Genomic DNA, 15,614 nt, shown 5'->3' with positions numbered 1-15,614 from the left:
TGCCATCTCCCTGCGTGTCCCCCAGCATACACACACACACACACATGCTGTACAAAGGCCCTTCCGTCCTCCAGCTCTGTGCCCCTCCTCTCTCTGCCTGGACCCCCCAGGGCTCCTCCTCAGTCTTCTCCAGGACCACTCCCCATCATCCTACAAACATGCAGCCTGTCCAGGAGGCCCTGGGGCGGTGTCTGTCACTGCACTTACAGCACTTCTCACTCTCCGTCATTCTTTCTTCTCTGTGTTTTTCTTTGTTATCTCTGTCCACTACACCGTCCCCTTGAGAGACCACATGTGCTTCTTGAGCGTTTCTTAAACCCTGCCTCGAACAGTGCCCAGCACACGTGTGGGTGCACAGTCAATATCAAATCAATGAGCAAATGAACATTATGTTTACAATGAAAACAAATCAGGGCCTTGGTCCTTATCCTCAGAGAGCTTTTTATAATGATTGTGCAGGCCGAGGCTTGTGGCTCGCTTTGTAATCTCAGCACTTTGAAAGGCTGAAGTAGGAGGATCCCTTGGGCCTAGGAGTTTGAGACCAGCCTGGGCAACATAGTAAGACCTCATCTCCACAAAAAATTAAAAAATTAGCCGGGCACCGTGGTGGGTGCCTGTAGTCCCAAATACTCGGGAGTCTGAGATGTGAAGATCACTTGAGCCCACGAGGTGAAGGCTACAGTGAGCCATGATCGTGCCACTGCAAACACCAACCAGCCTGGGTGACAGAGTGAGACTGTCTCAAAAAAATTAATTAAAAATTTTTTTTAAGTTTTAAAAAATGATTGTGCAAAAAGGTAAATACAGTATGATTCTACTTGCAGGAGGTACCAAGAGTGGTGTCTCTGAATTCGTCAGAGAAACTGAAAATATCATAGCGGTTACCTGGAACTGGGGGAGGGGGAATGGGGAGTTGGTGCTTAGTGGGTACAGAGTTTTAGTTTAGGAAGATGAAAAAGTTCTGTGGATGCATGGTGGTAATGATTGCACAAAAATATAAATATACTTAATGCCAGTGGAGTGTATACTTAGAAATGACTAAAATGGTAAATTTATGTTATGCATACATTTTGCCACAATTTTAAAAATAGCTTTTAAAAAATGGTTGTAGAGAAAGATATAAACACATTAAACAACTGCAGAATGATGAGACAACATATGAGTAAGTGGCACCAACAACATGAGATAAGAAGTGACACATACTGCTTGATTCTGGCTCCCAAAAAGTCCAGTGCTGAAGGCCATCCCTGGAGTGGAGTGTGGCTTTGCACTGAACATTGCTCTCTGGGAAGGGAAGTGAGTTATTTTTAAGCTTTCCATTTGTAAAGGTGATATAACTGCAGTAATACACATTGCAAAAATTAGCCACTAGAAACAACAGCAAGGGAAACGCATCTTGGTGTATTTTCTTCTAATGTTTTAAAAACATTTTTTACATTTTACATAGTTATAATCATGCTGAATGTATGTTTATATCAAGCATGCTGTCTGCGTTTTCCTTGTCAACCTTTCCATAGGTTTCATAATTCTAAAACATCATCATGTTAATGCCTAAAATTATATTGAATGCATTATCATTGTTTACTTAAATATTGCTTTATTTCTGAACATTTCCATTGCTTTTAACATTTAACATCTCTGTTCATACTCTATTGTGCCAAGACTAAGATTACATCCACTGGAGAAATGTTCCAGAATGGACTACTGAATATACAGGTATAAACATTTTGATAGCTTCTGATATTGCTTTCTGAGGTCATCATGACTCTTACCTGAAACAGATATCATCTTTTTTTTTTTTCCTGCTGGGGTATAAGTGGAAAACACATTTTCAGCACTGATATAATTTTGTGTTAGAAGATTGCAGCACTTTAAAACCCTTTTTCCCAAGAGCTAAAGGAGAGTTGATGCTATAAATATGGCAGGAACTCAAAACCCTGGGTACAGTCCCTGGTTCATCTCTGCCCTGTGACTGGGGCAAGTCAGGGCAGGACTGTTGGGAGCTGCAATCCAAGCACAGAGTTGCTCGGAGTTGCAAAAGGAGAAGCCACAGGGCAGACATACAATACAGAACCTGAAAGAAGTGCCCAAGCCTGCGCCAGCCCTTCAAAATCAGAGAAGAGCGGGCCTCGAAAAGGCAAAGAAAGAAAGAAGGCAGAACGAGCTGGAGCGAAGGAATTAACCAGGGGGAAGAGAAGGGTGGAGGAAGCAGGGGGCTCGGAACATTCCCTTTGGAGAGGACGGGGTTTGTGGGGGCTTTCCCCTGCTGCAGCGGGGCTCTTTGCTAAAAGTGAAACTGCGATTTTCGGAGGGTTCCGAAGGCGTTCACCTAGGGAAGGAAAATGTTCCATTTGGGGGTCCACACTGGGTTAAAAACAATGCCTCTGCCTGCTCTCAGTTATGGAGGCCCCCGAGTGTCTTCAGTCAACTCTGGGTGGTTCTGAGGCTACAGCAACAACCGAACTCGGCCTGTGCCCCAACTTGGCCCAGGGCCTGAAGGAGCCCCAGTGTGATCTTAACTCAAGTGTGTCCGCAGGACAAGGCCCCATGTTGCTTCCCCGCCACAATACAACGAAGAACAAAGCTCCCGTCGGCTGAGTGCCTCACAGGCGCCAGCACTGTGCTGGGAGTTGTGCGTTCTTTTTCCTGTTGGTTTCTTAACCGCAGAACGAGGTGGATATTAGCAACTCCTTTAGCAGGGCTCAATGGCGTCTTAGAAATCACACCACATTTGATAAATCCGAAAGCTTCGATTCACCCCAGGCGGCCTCACTCCAACGCCTTGAGAATTGAAGGAGCAGCAGGCTTCATGAGTTTGATGAAAAACTTGGGAGAATGCCAGTGTAACCTAATAAAAAGTCAAAGTTATTGGATTATTTGAAAAAAAAAAAAAAAGTAAAGTTGATCCTTTCAAGAGTACCTATATAAAAAGAGCACCTATATTCAAAGCCAGCTACACCGCCTGTGGTTCAGAAGTGGGGAGTTGGGTCAGAAAAGGTGGGACAGACAGGATGGCTCAGTAATTAGGGCTGGCACATAGCAGATCTGGGCTACCTGTGTGACTCTGAGCAAGTGAATTAACCTCTCTGAACCTTGAATATAAAACAAGAATAATGATAATATCTACCTCACACATGAGCATTAATAAAATAGTGCTTGCAGAGTGCATGGCACATACTACTCAGTCAATGGTAGCTGCTAGCATTGTTATCTTAATGATCACTGTTATTACATTATATTCTAGTTATTTTTTATATTTTTGAGACTAGCCTAAATCTCACCACTCAGGCTGCAGAAAGGATGTTTCACTAACCTTGGAAATTCCAGTATAGGCAAACCTCAGAGATATCTCAGGTTCAGTTCCAGACCACCACAATAAAGCAAATATCACAATAAAGCCAGTTACATTCATTTTTTGGTTTCCCAGTGTACATAAAAGTTATGTTTACCCTATAAGGTAGTCTACTAAGTGTACAAAGACATTATGTCTGAAAAAAAAAGTACGTCTTAATCAAAAAATAATTTATTACCAAATACATGCTAAAATCACCTGAGCTTTCAGTGAGTCATAATTTCTTTGCTGATGGAGGGCATCTTGCCTTGATGTCAATGGCTGCTGACTGATCAGAATGGTGGTTGCCAAAGGCTGGCGTGGCTGTGCCAATTTCGTAAAATAGGACAACAACAAATCTTGCCACATTGATTGACTCTTCCTTTCACAAAAGATTTATCTGTAGCATGCGATGCTGTTTGATAGCATTTTACCTACAGTAGAACAGCATTCAAAATTGGAGTCACTCCTCTCAAATACTGACGCCTCTTTCTCAACTAAGTTTATGTAACATTCTCTATCTTCTGTTGTCATTTCAACAATGTTCACACCATCTTCACCAGGAGTAGATTCCATTTCAAGAAACCACCTTCTTTGCTCATCAGAGAGAATAAACTCCTCATGTGTTAAGTTTGATCACGGGATTGCAACAATTCAGCCACGTCTTCAGACTCCACTTCTATCTCTAGTTCTCTTGCTATTTCTACCATACTTGCAGTTACTTCCTCCACTGAAGTCTTGAACTCCTCCAACTCATCCAGGAGAATTGGAATCACCTGCTTCCAAACTCCTCCTAATGTTGGTATTTATACCTGCTCCCATGAATCACAAATGTTCTTTGTTGCATCTAGAATGGTGAATCCTTTCCAGAAGGTTTCACCCAGATCTATCAGAGGAATCATCATCTGTGGCAGCTCTAGCCTTACGAAATGTATTTCTTAATAAGAATTGAAAGTCAAAATTACTCCTTGGTCCATGTAAAATCAATGTTGTTTTACCAGTCATGAAAAACAATATTAATCTCCTTGTACATCTCCATCAGATCTCTTGGGTGACCAGGCACATTTTCAATGAGCAGTAATATTTTGAAAGGAATCTTTTTTCCTGAGCGAGTCTCAACAGTGGGCTTTAAATATTCAGTAAACCATGCTCTAAACAGATGTGCTGTCATCCAGGCTTTGCTATTCCATTTACAGAGTATAAGTAGAGTAGACTTAGCATAATTCTTAAGGGACTTAGGGTTTTTAGAATGGTAAATGAGCATTGGCTTCAACTTAAAGTCACCAGCTGCATTAGCCCCTAACAAGAGAGGCAGGCTGTCCTTTGAAGCCAGGCATTGACTTCTCTCTAGCTATGAAAGACCTAGTAGCATCTTCTTCCAATATAAGGCTGTTTTGTCTACATTGAAAATCTGTTGTTTAGTGTAGCCACCTTTGTCAATAATCTTAGAAAGCTCTTTTGGATAACCTGCTGTGCTGCAGCACCTATTAGTTTCTATATTAGCACCTGCTTCTTCACGTTGCATTTTGATGTTAAGGAGATGGTATCTTCCCTTAAACCACTTGAATCAACCAACCTCTCCTAGCTTCAAACTTTTCTTCTGCAGCTTCCTCACCACTTCAGCTTTCATAAAATTTAAGAGAGTTGGGACTTTGCTCTGGATTAGGCTTTTGCTTAAGGGAATTTTGTGGCTGTTCCGATTTACCCAGACCACTAAAACTCTCTCCATATCAGCAATAAGGCTATTTCGTTTTCTTATCATTCATGTGCTCACTGGATTAGTACTTTTAATTTCCTTCAAGAACTTTTTCTCTACCTTCTCAACTTGGCTCATTATTTGACACAAGAGACCTAGCTTTCAGCCTGTCTCCACTTTCAGCATCCCTTCCTCACTAAACTTAATCATTTCTAGCTTTTGATTTAAAGTGAGAGATGCGCAATTCTTCCTTTCCCTTGAACACTTAGAAACCATTGTAGGGTTATTAATTGGCCTAATTTTAATATTTTTGTGGCTCAGGGCATAGGGGGGCCTAAGGAGAAGGAGATACAGAATGGCTGGTCATGGAGCAGTCAGAACACACCCAACATTTATGGATCAAGTTCACTGTCATAAATGGGCATGGTTCATGGTGCCCTAAAACAATTAAAATAGTAACATCAAAAATAACTGATTACAGTCACCAGAACAGACACAATAATAATGAAAAAGTTTGAGGTATTGCAAGAATTATTAAAAGGTGATCCAGAGGCACAAAGTCAACACATGCTATTGAAAAACAGCATTGATAGATTTGCTCCAGGCAGGGTTGCCACAAACTTTCAATTTGCTAAAAATACAACATCCGTGCAGCACAATAAAAAAATAAAGTGCAATAAAATGAGGTATGCCTGTACTTTAAACAGTGCCTGGAACACAGCAGGTACTCATTACATACAGTTACTCTGTTAATTATGAATATATACTTTATTTATTTATTTTTATTTATTTATTTATTTTGAGATGGAGTCTCGCTCTGTCACCCAGACTGAAGTGCAGTGGTACAGTCTCGGCTCACAGCAACCTCCATCTCCCAGTTCAAGCAATTCTCCTGCCTCAGCCTCCTGAGTAGCTGGGACCACAGGTGCCCGCCACCACGCCCGGCTAATTTTTATATTTTTAGTAGAAACAGGGTTTCATCATGTTGGCCAGGCTGGTCTCGAACTCCTGAACTCAGGTGATCTACCCATCTTGGCCTCCCAAAGTGCTGGGATTACAGGCATAAGCCACTGCACCCAGCCAGTGAATATATATTTTTAATATGTAATTACCTCCTCCCATGAATTATGAATTATGCCAAATATAAAGAAAACTACTGAAGGTAACATACTAGCTTCAAGTTTATTTAGCAAATTAGCAGATTTGCTAAATAAATCTGTCAGATTTAGCAAATTTAACTTTTGCCAAATTTGCTTCAGTCTTTTATTTCAAGCAATAAAATGTTTGTGTTGAGACCCCTTCTTCACCCCTATTCCATCCTCCATACTGCATACCCTATCTTGAAATTTGTGGGTTCTGCCTCCAGGCTTTTTTTATACTTGTGATTCTCTTATTATGTAAGTATCTATAAACAATGACATAATAATGAATAATATATGGCATGTGCTTTTATTTTTTATAAATAATGTCAGAGTGTACATGCACTTTTAAAATTTGCTTATTTCATTCAACATATTTTTGAGATTTACCTGTGTTGATGCCTGTGGATCTAGTTCATTTATTGTGTCATATTTTATTAATGTATTACAATTTTATTCATTCCCCTATTAGATATTAGTTTATAATTATTATTACAATTTTCCAATTTCTGTTGTTTGTGCTTCTGTGAACACTCTTATACATCAAAACTTCTCTGAGCAATGAATCTGGAAGTGGAAGTTCTGGGGCCAGAGCATCTTCATTTTTAATAGATATTTTTACTAGATATCCCAAATTATCTCCACTGCAGTTGTAACAATTTACATCCCCATCAACACTGCATCACAGTTATTTGGTCATATCCTCCCTCATGCTTGATGTTATTGGTCTTGTTCATTTTGCTAATTTGAATATAAAATGATATTGGTTGTTTTCATTTGCATCTCACTGATTCAAGTAATGTTTGGCATCTTTTTATTTGGATATTGGCTTGGTCACGTACTTTGCCCATTTTTAATTCTGCTGTCTTTAACTTATTACTTTGTGAGAGTCTGATATGTTATGGATAAAGATCTTCTGTTGCTTTTATGCACTGCAAATATCTTCTACTAATTTGAGACTTGTCCTTTAACTTTGTATTGGTTTTTGCCCTGCATACTTTAAACAAATGTTCGAATGGTAACATCACACTTTTATGGCTTGTCCTTTTATATTTTGACCAAGAAATTCTGTGCCTTATCATGTCTCTGTCTTAAAAACACATTTTTTAAAAAAGTTTTGAAACTTTGCTTTTCATATTTATTCTATCTGGAGTATACATTTGTGAATGGTTTGAGATAGAGTTCAAGTTTTACGTTTTTCCCACATGGGAAGCCAATGTCACAGCACTAATGATCGAATCCTTTACCCACAGGAGTGCCCAGCCATCTCCAACATGTTCACATCTGTATTTTCTAGGCCCCCTACTCTCTTTCATTGTTCTATTTGTGTTTAAATTACTAGAGTTTATAAATCATGATATGTGGAATAATGGGTCCCCCCCTTACCCTTCAGCAAAATTATTCAGCTATTTTTGGCCCTTTATACTTCCATATGAATTTGATAATCAGCTTGTGAGCAAAATCTGGTTGGCATTTTGAATGCACTGGATCTGTAGATTAACTGGGGAAAACTTACATCTTCCTGAAGTTGAGTCTTCATGTCCATTATAAAGTACCCCGGAGGAGAAGTTTCCATCAGAATAAATTCTCTAACATTTGTGACCATCTTGTCTTCCAACCTGTGATGACAATAGCCACCCTACCTTACTACTCTCCTGAGAGAAATTTTTTAAGCATGGGGACCTCTCTGAAGTCTCCTGCAGCTGTTGACCCGTACATCCTTGATTCCAAATGGCAGAAAACTAATTTGCAGGTCAGACACTATTGAAATTCACCTTGATTAACCATGGCAATAAAATTGACAGTGATGCCCAAGAGGGAAGGATAAAACCCTCACCCGCTTTCCCAAATGATATTAACTTTGGGGAATAACTGAGCAGGTAATTCTCTGTGTGTGGTTTCCTCTTTCTGAGAAGAAATCACAAGAAACAGAAACAGAGGTTTCTGGCTTTGAGATCCTGAATCAAATGTGGTTGGATCCTGTGGTAACCCTAGGCCTATCAAGTGCTATATGCCTGGCTCTTTCTGTGTTGAATTTGACACAACATCTGACTCGACTGAGTCACAGAAAAAAATCAGTCATTACTTAATAAGTAACCAACACCTTGACTTGGTGCATGTATTGAGACTCTCTTGTTTTTCTTTTTGCAAGGCCTCAAGGGGAAGGTATATCAGGAACCTTTGTCCCCCAATGCCTGCATGGATACTACAGCAATACTACAACCTCACAGAAGCTGCTTAACCCATGGATCCTGAAAACATAGGCAAGAAGCACAGGTCCTGATGAGTGGATCTTTACTACTTTTACCAGATTCCTCCCTCGCTCAGAGGGATCCTCCCACACACCCAGCAGAGACTTCTCTGCCACCATCAACCCCCCAAGTCATAGGGGGCTCAAGTTCTGCCCTGGTGAGCTGTGGCCCCCATCCTTGTGAACCCCAAAGTGTCCCCCTTGTGGAACCAAATGTATCCATCTTGAATAAATTTGCCCAAAATCCTAAAGACCGGGAAAAGGGAACCATTGAGCTTGGCAAGTACTGGGGAACATCTTTGCTTCCTGCATCTCTAGCACCAGATCACTATGAGTATGGACCACCCATTTCAGAACAGCCGCCAAATGCTGAGGTTAGAGAGGGTTACTTATGTCAGGCAGATGTTCTTTCCTTGTGAAGGAAAGCGTTTTTAAGCTTCTTTGCTTTTTAAAAATTTATTTTTTTTATTTATTTATATATTTTTGAGACGGAGTCTCGCTGTCACCCAGGCTGGAGTGCAGGGACTCGATCTTGGCTCACTACAATCTCTGCCTCCTGGGTTCAAGTGATTCTCCTGCCTCTGCCTGCTGGGACTACAGGCACATGCCACCACACATGGTTAATTTTTGTATTTTTAGTAGAGACGGGGTTTCACCATGTTTGGCCAGGTTGGTCTCGAACCCTTGACCTCAGGTGATTCAACCACCTCGGCCTCCCAAAGTGCTGGAATTACAGGCATGAACCACCCAGGCCCGGCCTACTTTTAATTTATTTTTTATTTTTGAGACAAGGTCTCACTCTGTCACCCAGGCTGGAGTGCAGTGGTGCAATCACGGCTCACTCTAGCGTTGACCTCCCAGGCTCAGGCAATTCTTCCACCTCAGCCTCCTGGGTAGCTGAGACTACAGGTGCACACCACCACACCTGGCAAATTTTTGTATTTATTGTAGACACGGGGTCTCCTTATGTTGCCCAGGCTGGCCTTGAGCTCCTGGGCTCAAGCAACCTGCCTGCCTCAGCCTCCCAAAATGTTGGGATTATAGGCATGAGCACCATGCCCAGCCCTTTTTTTTTTTTTTTTTTTTTGAGACAGAGTCTCACTCTGTTGCCCAGGCTGGAGTGCGGTGGTGTGATCTTGGCTCACTGCAACCTCCACCTTCCCGGGTTCAAGCAATTCTTCCACCTCAGCCTCCCCAGTAGCTGGGATTACAGGCGCCTGGCATCATGCCTGGCTAAATTTTGTATTTTTGTAGAGACAGGGTTTCACCATGTTGGCCAGTCTGGTCTTAAATAAGTTGTGCGTGTGTGTGTGTGTGTGTGTGTGTGTTTGTGTGTGTGTGTGTTTAAAGCTTACAAATACATGAATATAAGTTTTGTCAGAAAAAATATAATTAATATTTCTTTGCTTTCCCAAATCTGCCATCAGTTTGTAAAAACACACAGTTTGTATAAACCTAGAGATTTTTCTCTGCATTTAGACACACATTTTTCTGTGCATTTAGACATTCACACACAGACACACACACACACACACGATTTTTACCTAAAAGAGTTATAATATATATATTGGTCTGCAACTAGCTTTTTTTACTTGACAATATATGTCAGAATTTGCTATATTCCAGGACATATAGATGTATTGGCTTATGTTTGACTGCCTCCTGGTATTCCTGTAGGTCGGTGAACCATAATTTAAATTCCTATTGCCCCATTGATGAAGACTGGGTTTTCCCACTTTAAAGGCAGTGCTGCATGAACACCTTCGCACCTGCCTTATTATGCACAGGTATGAGGAAGTATATTTTGCTGCACACAGAGATAGACATGATACTGGTTGAGAGCTCAGGCAATCTTTGGGAAAACGTTGATAAACAGTCATTACAATGGACGGGACAGGGGAAAGAAGAGACAAAAAACAACTGTAACAAATAGAAAACAGTTACGAACATAGTAGATACTAATCCAACTATATCAATAACCACTTTCAATGTGAATGGTCTAAATATATCCAAGTAAAAGACAGAGATTGTCAGAGTAGTAAAAAAGCAAGGCCTAACCATATGCTGTCCACAAGAAACCCACCTTAAATGTAAGACTCAGATGGGTTATAAGGAATAGAGAAAGATATATCTTGTTAACACTATCAAAAGAAAGCTGGAGTAGCTAATTTCAGACAAAGCAGACTTCATAGCAAGGAAAATCATCAGGGATAAAGAAGGACATTACATAATATTAAAAGGGTCAATTCTCCAAGAAGACAAAACAATCCTTAACATGCATACATGTATTAGCAAAGCATCAAAATACCTGAGAGAAAAAATGATAGGTATGCAAGGAAAAATACACAAAGTCACTATTATAGTTGGATATTTCAATACTTCTCTCTCAATAATTGATAAATCTAGCAGGTAGAAAGTCAGTAATGATTTAATTGACCTCAACAGCACTCTCAACCAGTTTGATCTAATTGACATTTATAGAATACTCTATCCAACAACAAAATACATATTCTTCCAAGTTCACATGGAACATTTACCAAAAGAGATTGCATTCTTTCCCATAAAACACACTTTAACAAACTGAAATGAACAGAAATCATATAAAGTATGCTGTCAGACCACAACAGAATTAAACTAGAAATTAATAACAAAAAGAGAGCTGAAAAGTCTCCAAATATTTGAAGATTAAACAACATGCTTCTAAATAACACATGGGTCAAAGAAGACGTCTCAAGAGATATTTTAAAATATTTTGAACTAAATGAAAATGCAACTTCTCAAAATTCATGGGATGCAGCAATGCAGTACTTCGAGGGAAACTTATAGCATTAAATACACATATTTTGAAAAGAGATCTAAAATTGACCATCTAAAATTCCACCTTAGGAAACAAGAGAAGGAAGAGCAATACAAGCCTAAAGCAAGCAGAAGAATAAAAATAATAAAAATTAGAGAAATCAATGAAACTGAAAACAGGAAACAATAGAGAAAATAAAACAAAAGCTATTTCTTTGAAAAGATCAGTAAAATTGGTAAACCTCTAGTCAATCTAACCAAGAAAAAAGAGAGAAGGCAAAAATTACTCATATCAGAAACAAAAGAGAGATCATCACTATGGATCTCACAGACAATAAAAGGATACCGAAGGAATATTACAAATGAATGGGGCCGCTTGTGTATGGCAAGCTCGGCTATTCCTTTTCTTTCTTATCCTGAAAGAAGGCAAAGGGTCCTAACTCTCCATACTACTTTCCCTTCCTCACCACCCCACTCCCTTTCTCTGATGGAAATTGAGACATGAATCTATCAATCCCAGGAAAATCATGTAATCTCACTGGGCATTATTTTTCCCCATATTTTAGCCAAAATATGCTAAAATCTCACTACTCAAAAAAAAAATGGTTAAAGAAGTTTCCCAAATTGCATAAGCTTTAGGCCCCATAGGAACTCTATCTGCTTTGTTTGCCACACTGAAATTTCTGCTAAGATCCAGGGGGAGCAGGGGCAGTCAGGGTGAATTTGAGGCATCTGTTTGGTGTGCTGGAGTTTTTCTTTTTCAATAAGGTGTTTTGTGGTAGAAGAAATAGCAATGTAATTCCTACAGTGTTAAGAGCTGAAAGACATTAACCTCCTTCAGTTAAAAGTTAGAAAACAGAAGCACAAAAGGACAAGAACAGACAATCCACACACAAAAAAGAAAATTCAAGTGATTACAGATCTACAGAAAAACCGTCAACCGCAATAAAAATCAAAGGAGATTGTAAAAATTATCCCACTTCTTGCTTCTCCCAAAATAACACTGATGCATGTACACACACACACACACACACACACGCACACACACCACACATACTAAGTCCTCACTTAACATCATGTATAGGTTCTTGGAAACTGTGATTTTAAGCAAAATAACATACAGCAGATCCTCAAAAAGTATTTTTTCATTCAATGTTGTTTTGTTACAATGTTGATTGAAAAACTGGTTTTATTATATGTTGTTTGGCTTAAAGTTGCAGTTTCCAAGAACCTATGGATGACAGTGAAGACTTACTATATGCGTGTATCTGTGTGTATGTGTGTGTGTGTGTGTAATTTGTTTTTTAATTCCTGGGGCTGACCAGGGGTTAGTGAAAGAAGAACTCTGATGCAGCCAACAGTATACATCTGTCAAATCTTTAAAAGGCCAACTTGCCTTTAAGAGCCATTTCCTTCTAAAAATTCAAACCAAGAAAATAATTCAAATGCACAAAAAGATATATAAGCCAAAATGTTTCTTTGTTTATTACTTTAACAGCCATATGGTTTTTATACTCCATAACATCACTTTAAAATATATAATGCACAAACTGTTAGAAATATAAACAAGAGGCCAGGCGCGGTGGCTCACGCCTGTAATCCCAGCACTTGGGAGGCCGGGGTGGGCGGATCAAGAGGTCAGGAGATGCAGACCATCCTGGCTAACACGGTGAAACCCCGTCTCTACTAAAAAATACAAAAAATTAGCCGGGTGTGGTGGTGGGCGCCAGTAACCACAGCTACTCGGGAGGCTGAGGCAGGAGAATGGCGTGAACCCGGGAGGCGGAGCTTGCAGTGAGCCGAGACCACGCCACTGCACTCCAGCCTGGGCGACAGAGCGAGACTCCGTCTCAAAAAAAAAAAAAAAAAAAAAAAAAAAAAAAAATATATATATATATATATATATATATAAAGAAGAAATAGTAAATCCACAAACACATTTAAAAAACTTACAGCTCTTTCAGAAATTAGATCAAGTAGATAAAAATTTTAAAAAGACATAGCAGATATGGATAATACATTTTACAAAGCTTGATCTAATATAAAGAATTTTGTGCCCAATCATTTATACAAAACTGTGCCTAAACTTATTTACGAAATCAACCATCAATCAAAAACTTCAATTTCAAAAAGCGTAAATACAGCCACATTCTCAGACCACAGAGCAATAAAATTATAAACCAAAGAAGGGGGAAAAAATGTATCCACTTAAAAATTTGTTATCACCTTTTAAGAACTGTTATGATAACTAAGAAACAAAAATTGAAATTATACACTATTTAGAAATTGCTGTATCATAATTTAAAAAGTACACACGACCTTAATGTCTAATTGTGCAAAGTATGAGTGGAATATTATGCAGATATCAGATAAGATTCATGAAGAACGTGTTATAAAAGAAATTGGCTGAAATAAAATTTTTATGGAACTTTATGATTAAAAAATTTTTAAAGCAGGCTGGAGACCTGAATAGGAAATATGATGACAGTGATGGAAAAAAATTAAAAATATATAAGCATAGAATAGAAACAAAGCAAATGCAAAACAATATACCAAAATGTTAGGAGTGACTATAATTCCATATTGGCACTATAAGCCATTATTTTTGTTTTGTTCTGTTTTCTATTCTCCAAAATATTTTTAACCTAAAAAAGACAGCAAAAGTGAGGCAGAGAGGAATTTAGGGACTTGCTAAAGTCACAAATTCAATGCACGGCCCAGGCCACCCCCAGCTTCCATTGCTGTGTCTAATCAGCCCGGGACTTCAGTAAACGACAACAACAACAACAAAAAACGAGGATTCACATCACCAGGAGAGAAACGGGCTCGGCCTAAGGACTTGGTAGTAGCTGGCAGCAGGACGCGCTTCGACTAAGGGGCTCTGGTTCCAAGCACCCCCAGAGCCAGCGCAGGAGAGGACCTTCCAGGTAAACTAAAACCAAGAGCGGAATGAAATCGGTGAATAAGCCAAACGAACCTCAGAGGGACCTTGGCACCCGCACCCCCGCCCCGCACCTTAGTTCTGCGAGCCTTTCCCCGTCTCCAACGCGGGCAAGGCTGTCAGATCCTCAAGCCGACCCTTCTCTGCACCGCGACCTCAGTGTCCTGCGCGGGACATCAGAGGCCGGACGCTCCACCTGCCCCAGGGCACGCCCCGAGCCCCCAAGCCCATCTCCTTCCTGTCGGGTGCTCACCTCTTCCTCCCTGCGGGCCCAGGGCCTTCTTGAGGGGCTGCGGATGCGAATGAGCCAGCGAAGGGCCGCCCGCGGCCCCTCGGCACCTCTGCCCAGCCGTCCCGACCAGGGGACCAGCTCAGCCCCGGTCGGGGCCCCGGCACCCAGGACCGCTCAGGATCTCCATTCCAGTCCCTTCGCACTTTCTGACGGGGAAGGAGAGTTGGGAGAACGAGACTCTCAAGTCTGGGGACTTCTACCCACCATTAAAGCTTTGGCATTCTGGCCATTTCTTTCTTTTTAAAAAATTATTATTATTATTTTTTATTTTGAGATGGGAGTCTCGCTCTATCCCCCAGCCTGGAGTGCAGTGACTCGATCTCCGCTCGCTGCAACTTCCGCCTCCAGGGTTCAAACGATTCTTCTGCCTCAGCCTCCCCAGTAGCTAGGACTACAGGCTTGCGCCATCACGCCCGGCTAGTTTTTTTTTTGTTTTTTGTTTGTTTGTTTGTTTGTTTTTAAAGTAGAAACAGGATTTCGCCATATTGGCCAGGCTGGTCTCGAACTCCTGACCTCAGTTGATCCGACCGCCTCGGCCTCCCAAAGTGTTGGAATTACAGCAGTGAGCCACCGCGCACCAAGCCCGGCCCATTCTGGCCATATCTATAGACGGATGCATTGCACAGGAGGCTCAGCACTAATCGGTAGATACTGCGAGATGCTGGGAGGTTAAGGGGCCTACCCGCAATATCTCTGGCCAATGCCTTGGGCTAGAAATGCCATAATTAGCCGCTCTTTTGATCCCTTGCAAAATGCGAATCCCACCGCACCTCCACCCCACCCGAGTGGTAATCTCCTAGTGGTAATCTAAGTGAGCCTGTGATAAGATAAGTAGCTCCTGGTGGTGAGGGTGAGAAATTGGGGAGCTGGAGCCCCAGCCAGGGACGAGGCTGTAGGGGCTAGGGCGAAGATGGAGGCTGCTGGGCCCCCAGATGGAAGACGGTAACGTGCGCCCGCTTCGTTTTTGCTCGAGGTCAGTCAGGTGCAGACTGAATTCGAAGTCGCTCCCTCCTCCGCTCAACCCCGACCAGGCCAAAACTAAAGCAGCACCGCCCCCTGCTGGGCCGACAGGGCATCAGATTTTGCTGGACGCGGGTGACAGGCGAGATAGGGAGTGTCCCTGCTGCTAGTGCCCCTGCTGCTAGTGCCTAGTTACCTGCAGTACTTA

The 15,614-nt window shown here is 41.1% G+C and overlaps 1 protein-coding gene and 1 long non-coding RNA gene across 6 annotated transcripts in view, besides 2 other annotated features; one reads left to right on the top strand and one right to left on the bottom strand.

The window, feature by feature from the left end:
• Nucleotides 1–8,668, top strand: part of CD8B (CD8 subunit beta) — a 46,518-nt gene extending 37,850 nt beyond the window's left edge. For 3 of the 4 annotated variants that reach the window (NM_001178100.2, NM_172102.5, NM_172213.5), the window contains one exon: nt 8,319–8,668. In NM_001178100.2, coding sequence (NP_001171571.1) covers nt 8,319–8,422 — 104 coding nt within the window. In that variant the 3' untranslated portion in view covers nt 8,423–8,668. Of the gene's footprint in view, nt 1–1,662; nt 1,717–8,318 lie in introns of all 4 variants that reach the window. The other variant, NM_172101.5, reaches the window with a different exon arrangement.
• Nucleotides 1,125–1,325: a silencer, noted in NCBI's record as "peak3783 fragment used in MPRA reporter construct". NCBI's record gives its function as "represses an SCP1 promoter by STARR-seq MPRAs in K562 erythroleukemia cells {active_cell/tissue: K562}" and the evidence as "EXISTENCE:reporter gene assay evidence [ECO:0000049][PMID:32103011]".
• LOC105374846 (uncharacterized) overlaps nt 1,575–15,614 on the bottom strand; it is a 28,486-nt gene continuing 14,446 nt past the window's right edge. The window contains exon 3 of one of the 2 annotated variants that reach the window (XR_940321.3): nt 1,575–2,848. This is a non-coding gene — a long non-coding RNA (uncharacterized LOC105374846). Of the gene's footprint in view, nt 2,849–13,106; nt 14,146–15,614 lie in introns of those variants that run through there. The other variant, XR_940322.3, reaches the window with a different exon arrangement.
• Nucleotides 15,420–15,609: a silencer, noted in NCBI's record as "silent region_11721". NCBI's record gives its function as "represses an Ori minimal core promoter by ATAC-STARR-seq in GM12878 lymphoblastoid cells {active_cell/tissue: GM12878}" and the evidence as "EXISTENCE:reporter gene assay evidence [ECO:0000049][PMID:35858748]".

The sequence above is a fragment of the Homo sapiens genome, chromosome 2, assembly GCF_000001405.40.
Source record: "Homo sapiens chromosome 2, GRCh38.p14 Primary Assembly".
NCBI lineage: Eukaryota > Metazoa > Chordata > Mammalia > Primates > Hominidae > Homo > Homo sapiens.
Note: the sequence above shows the minus strand (reverse complement) of the source record. Positions and strands in the feature narration are given on the sequence as shown.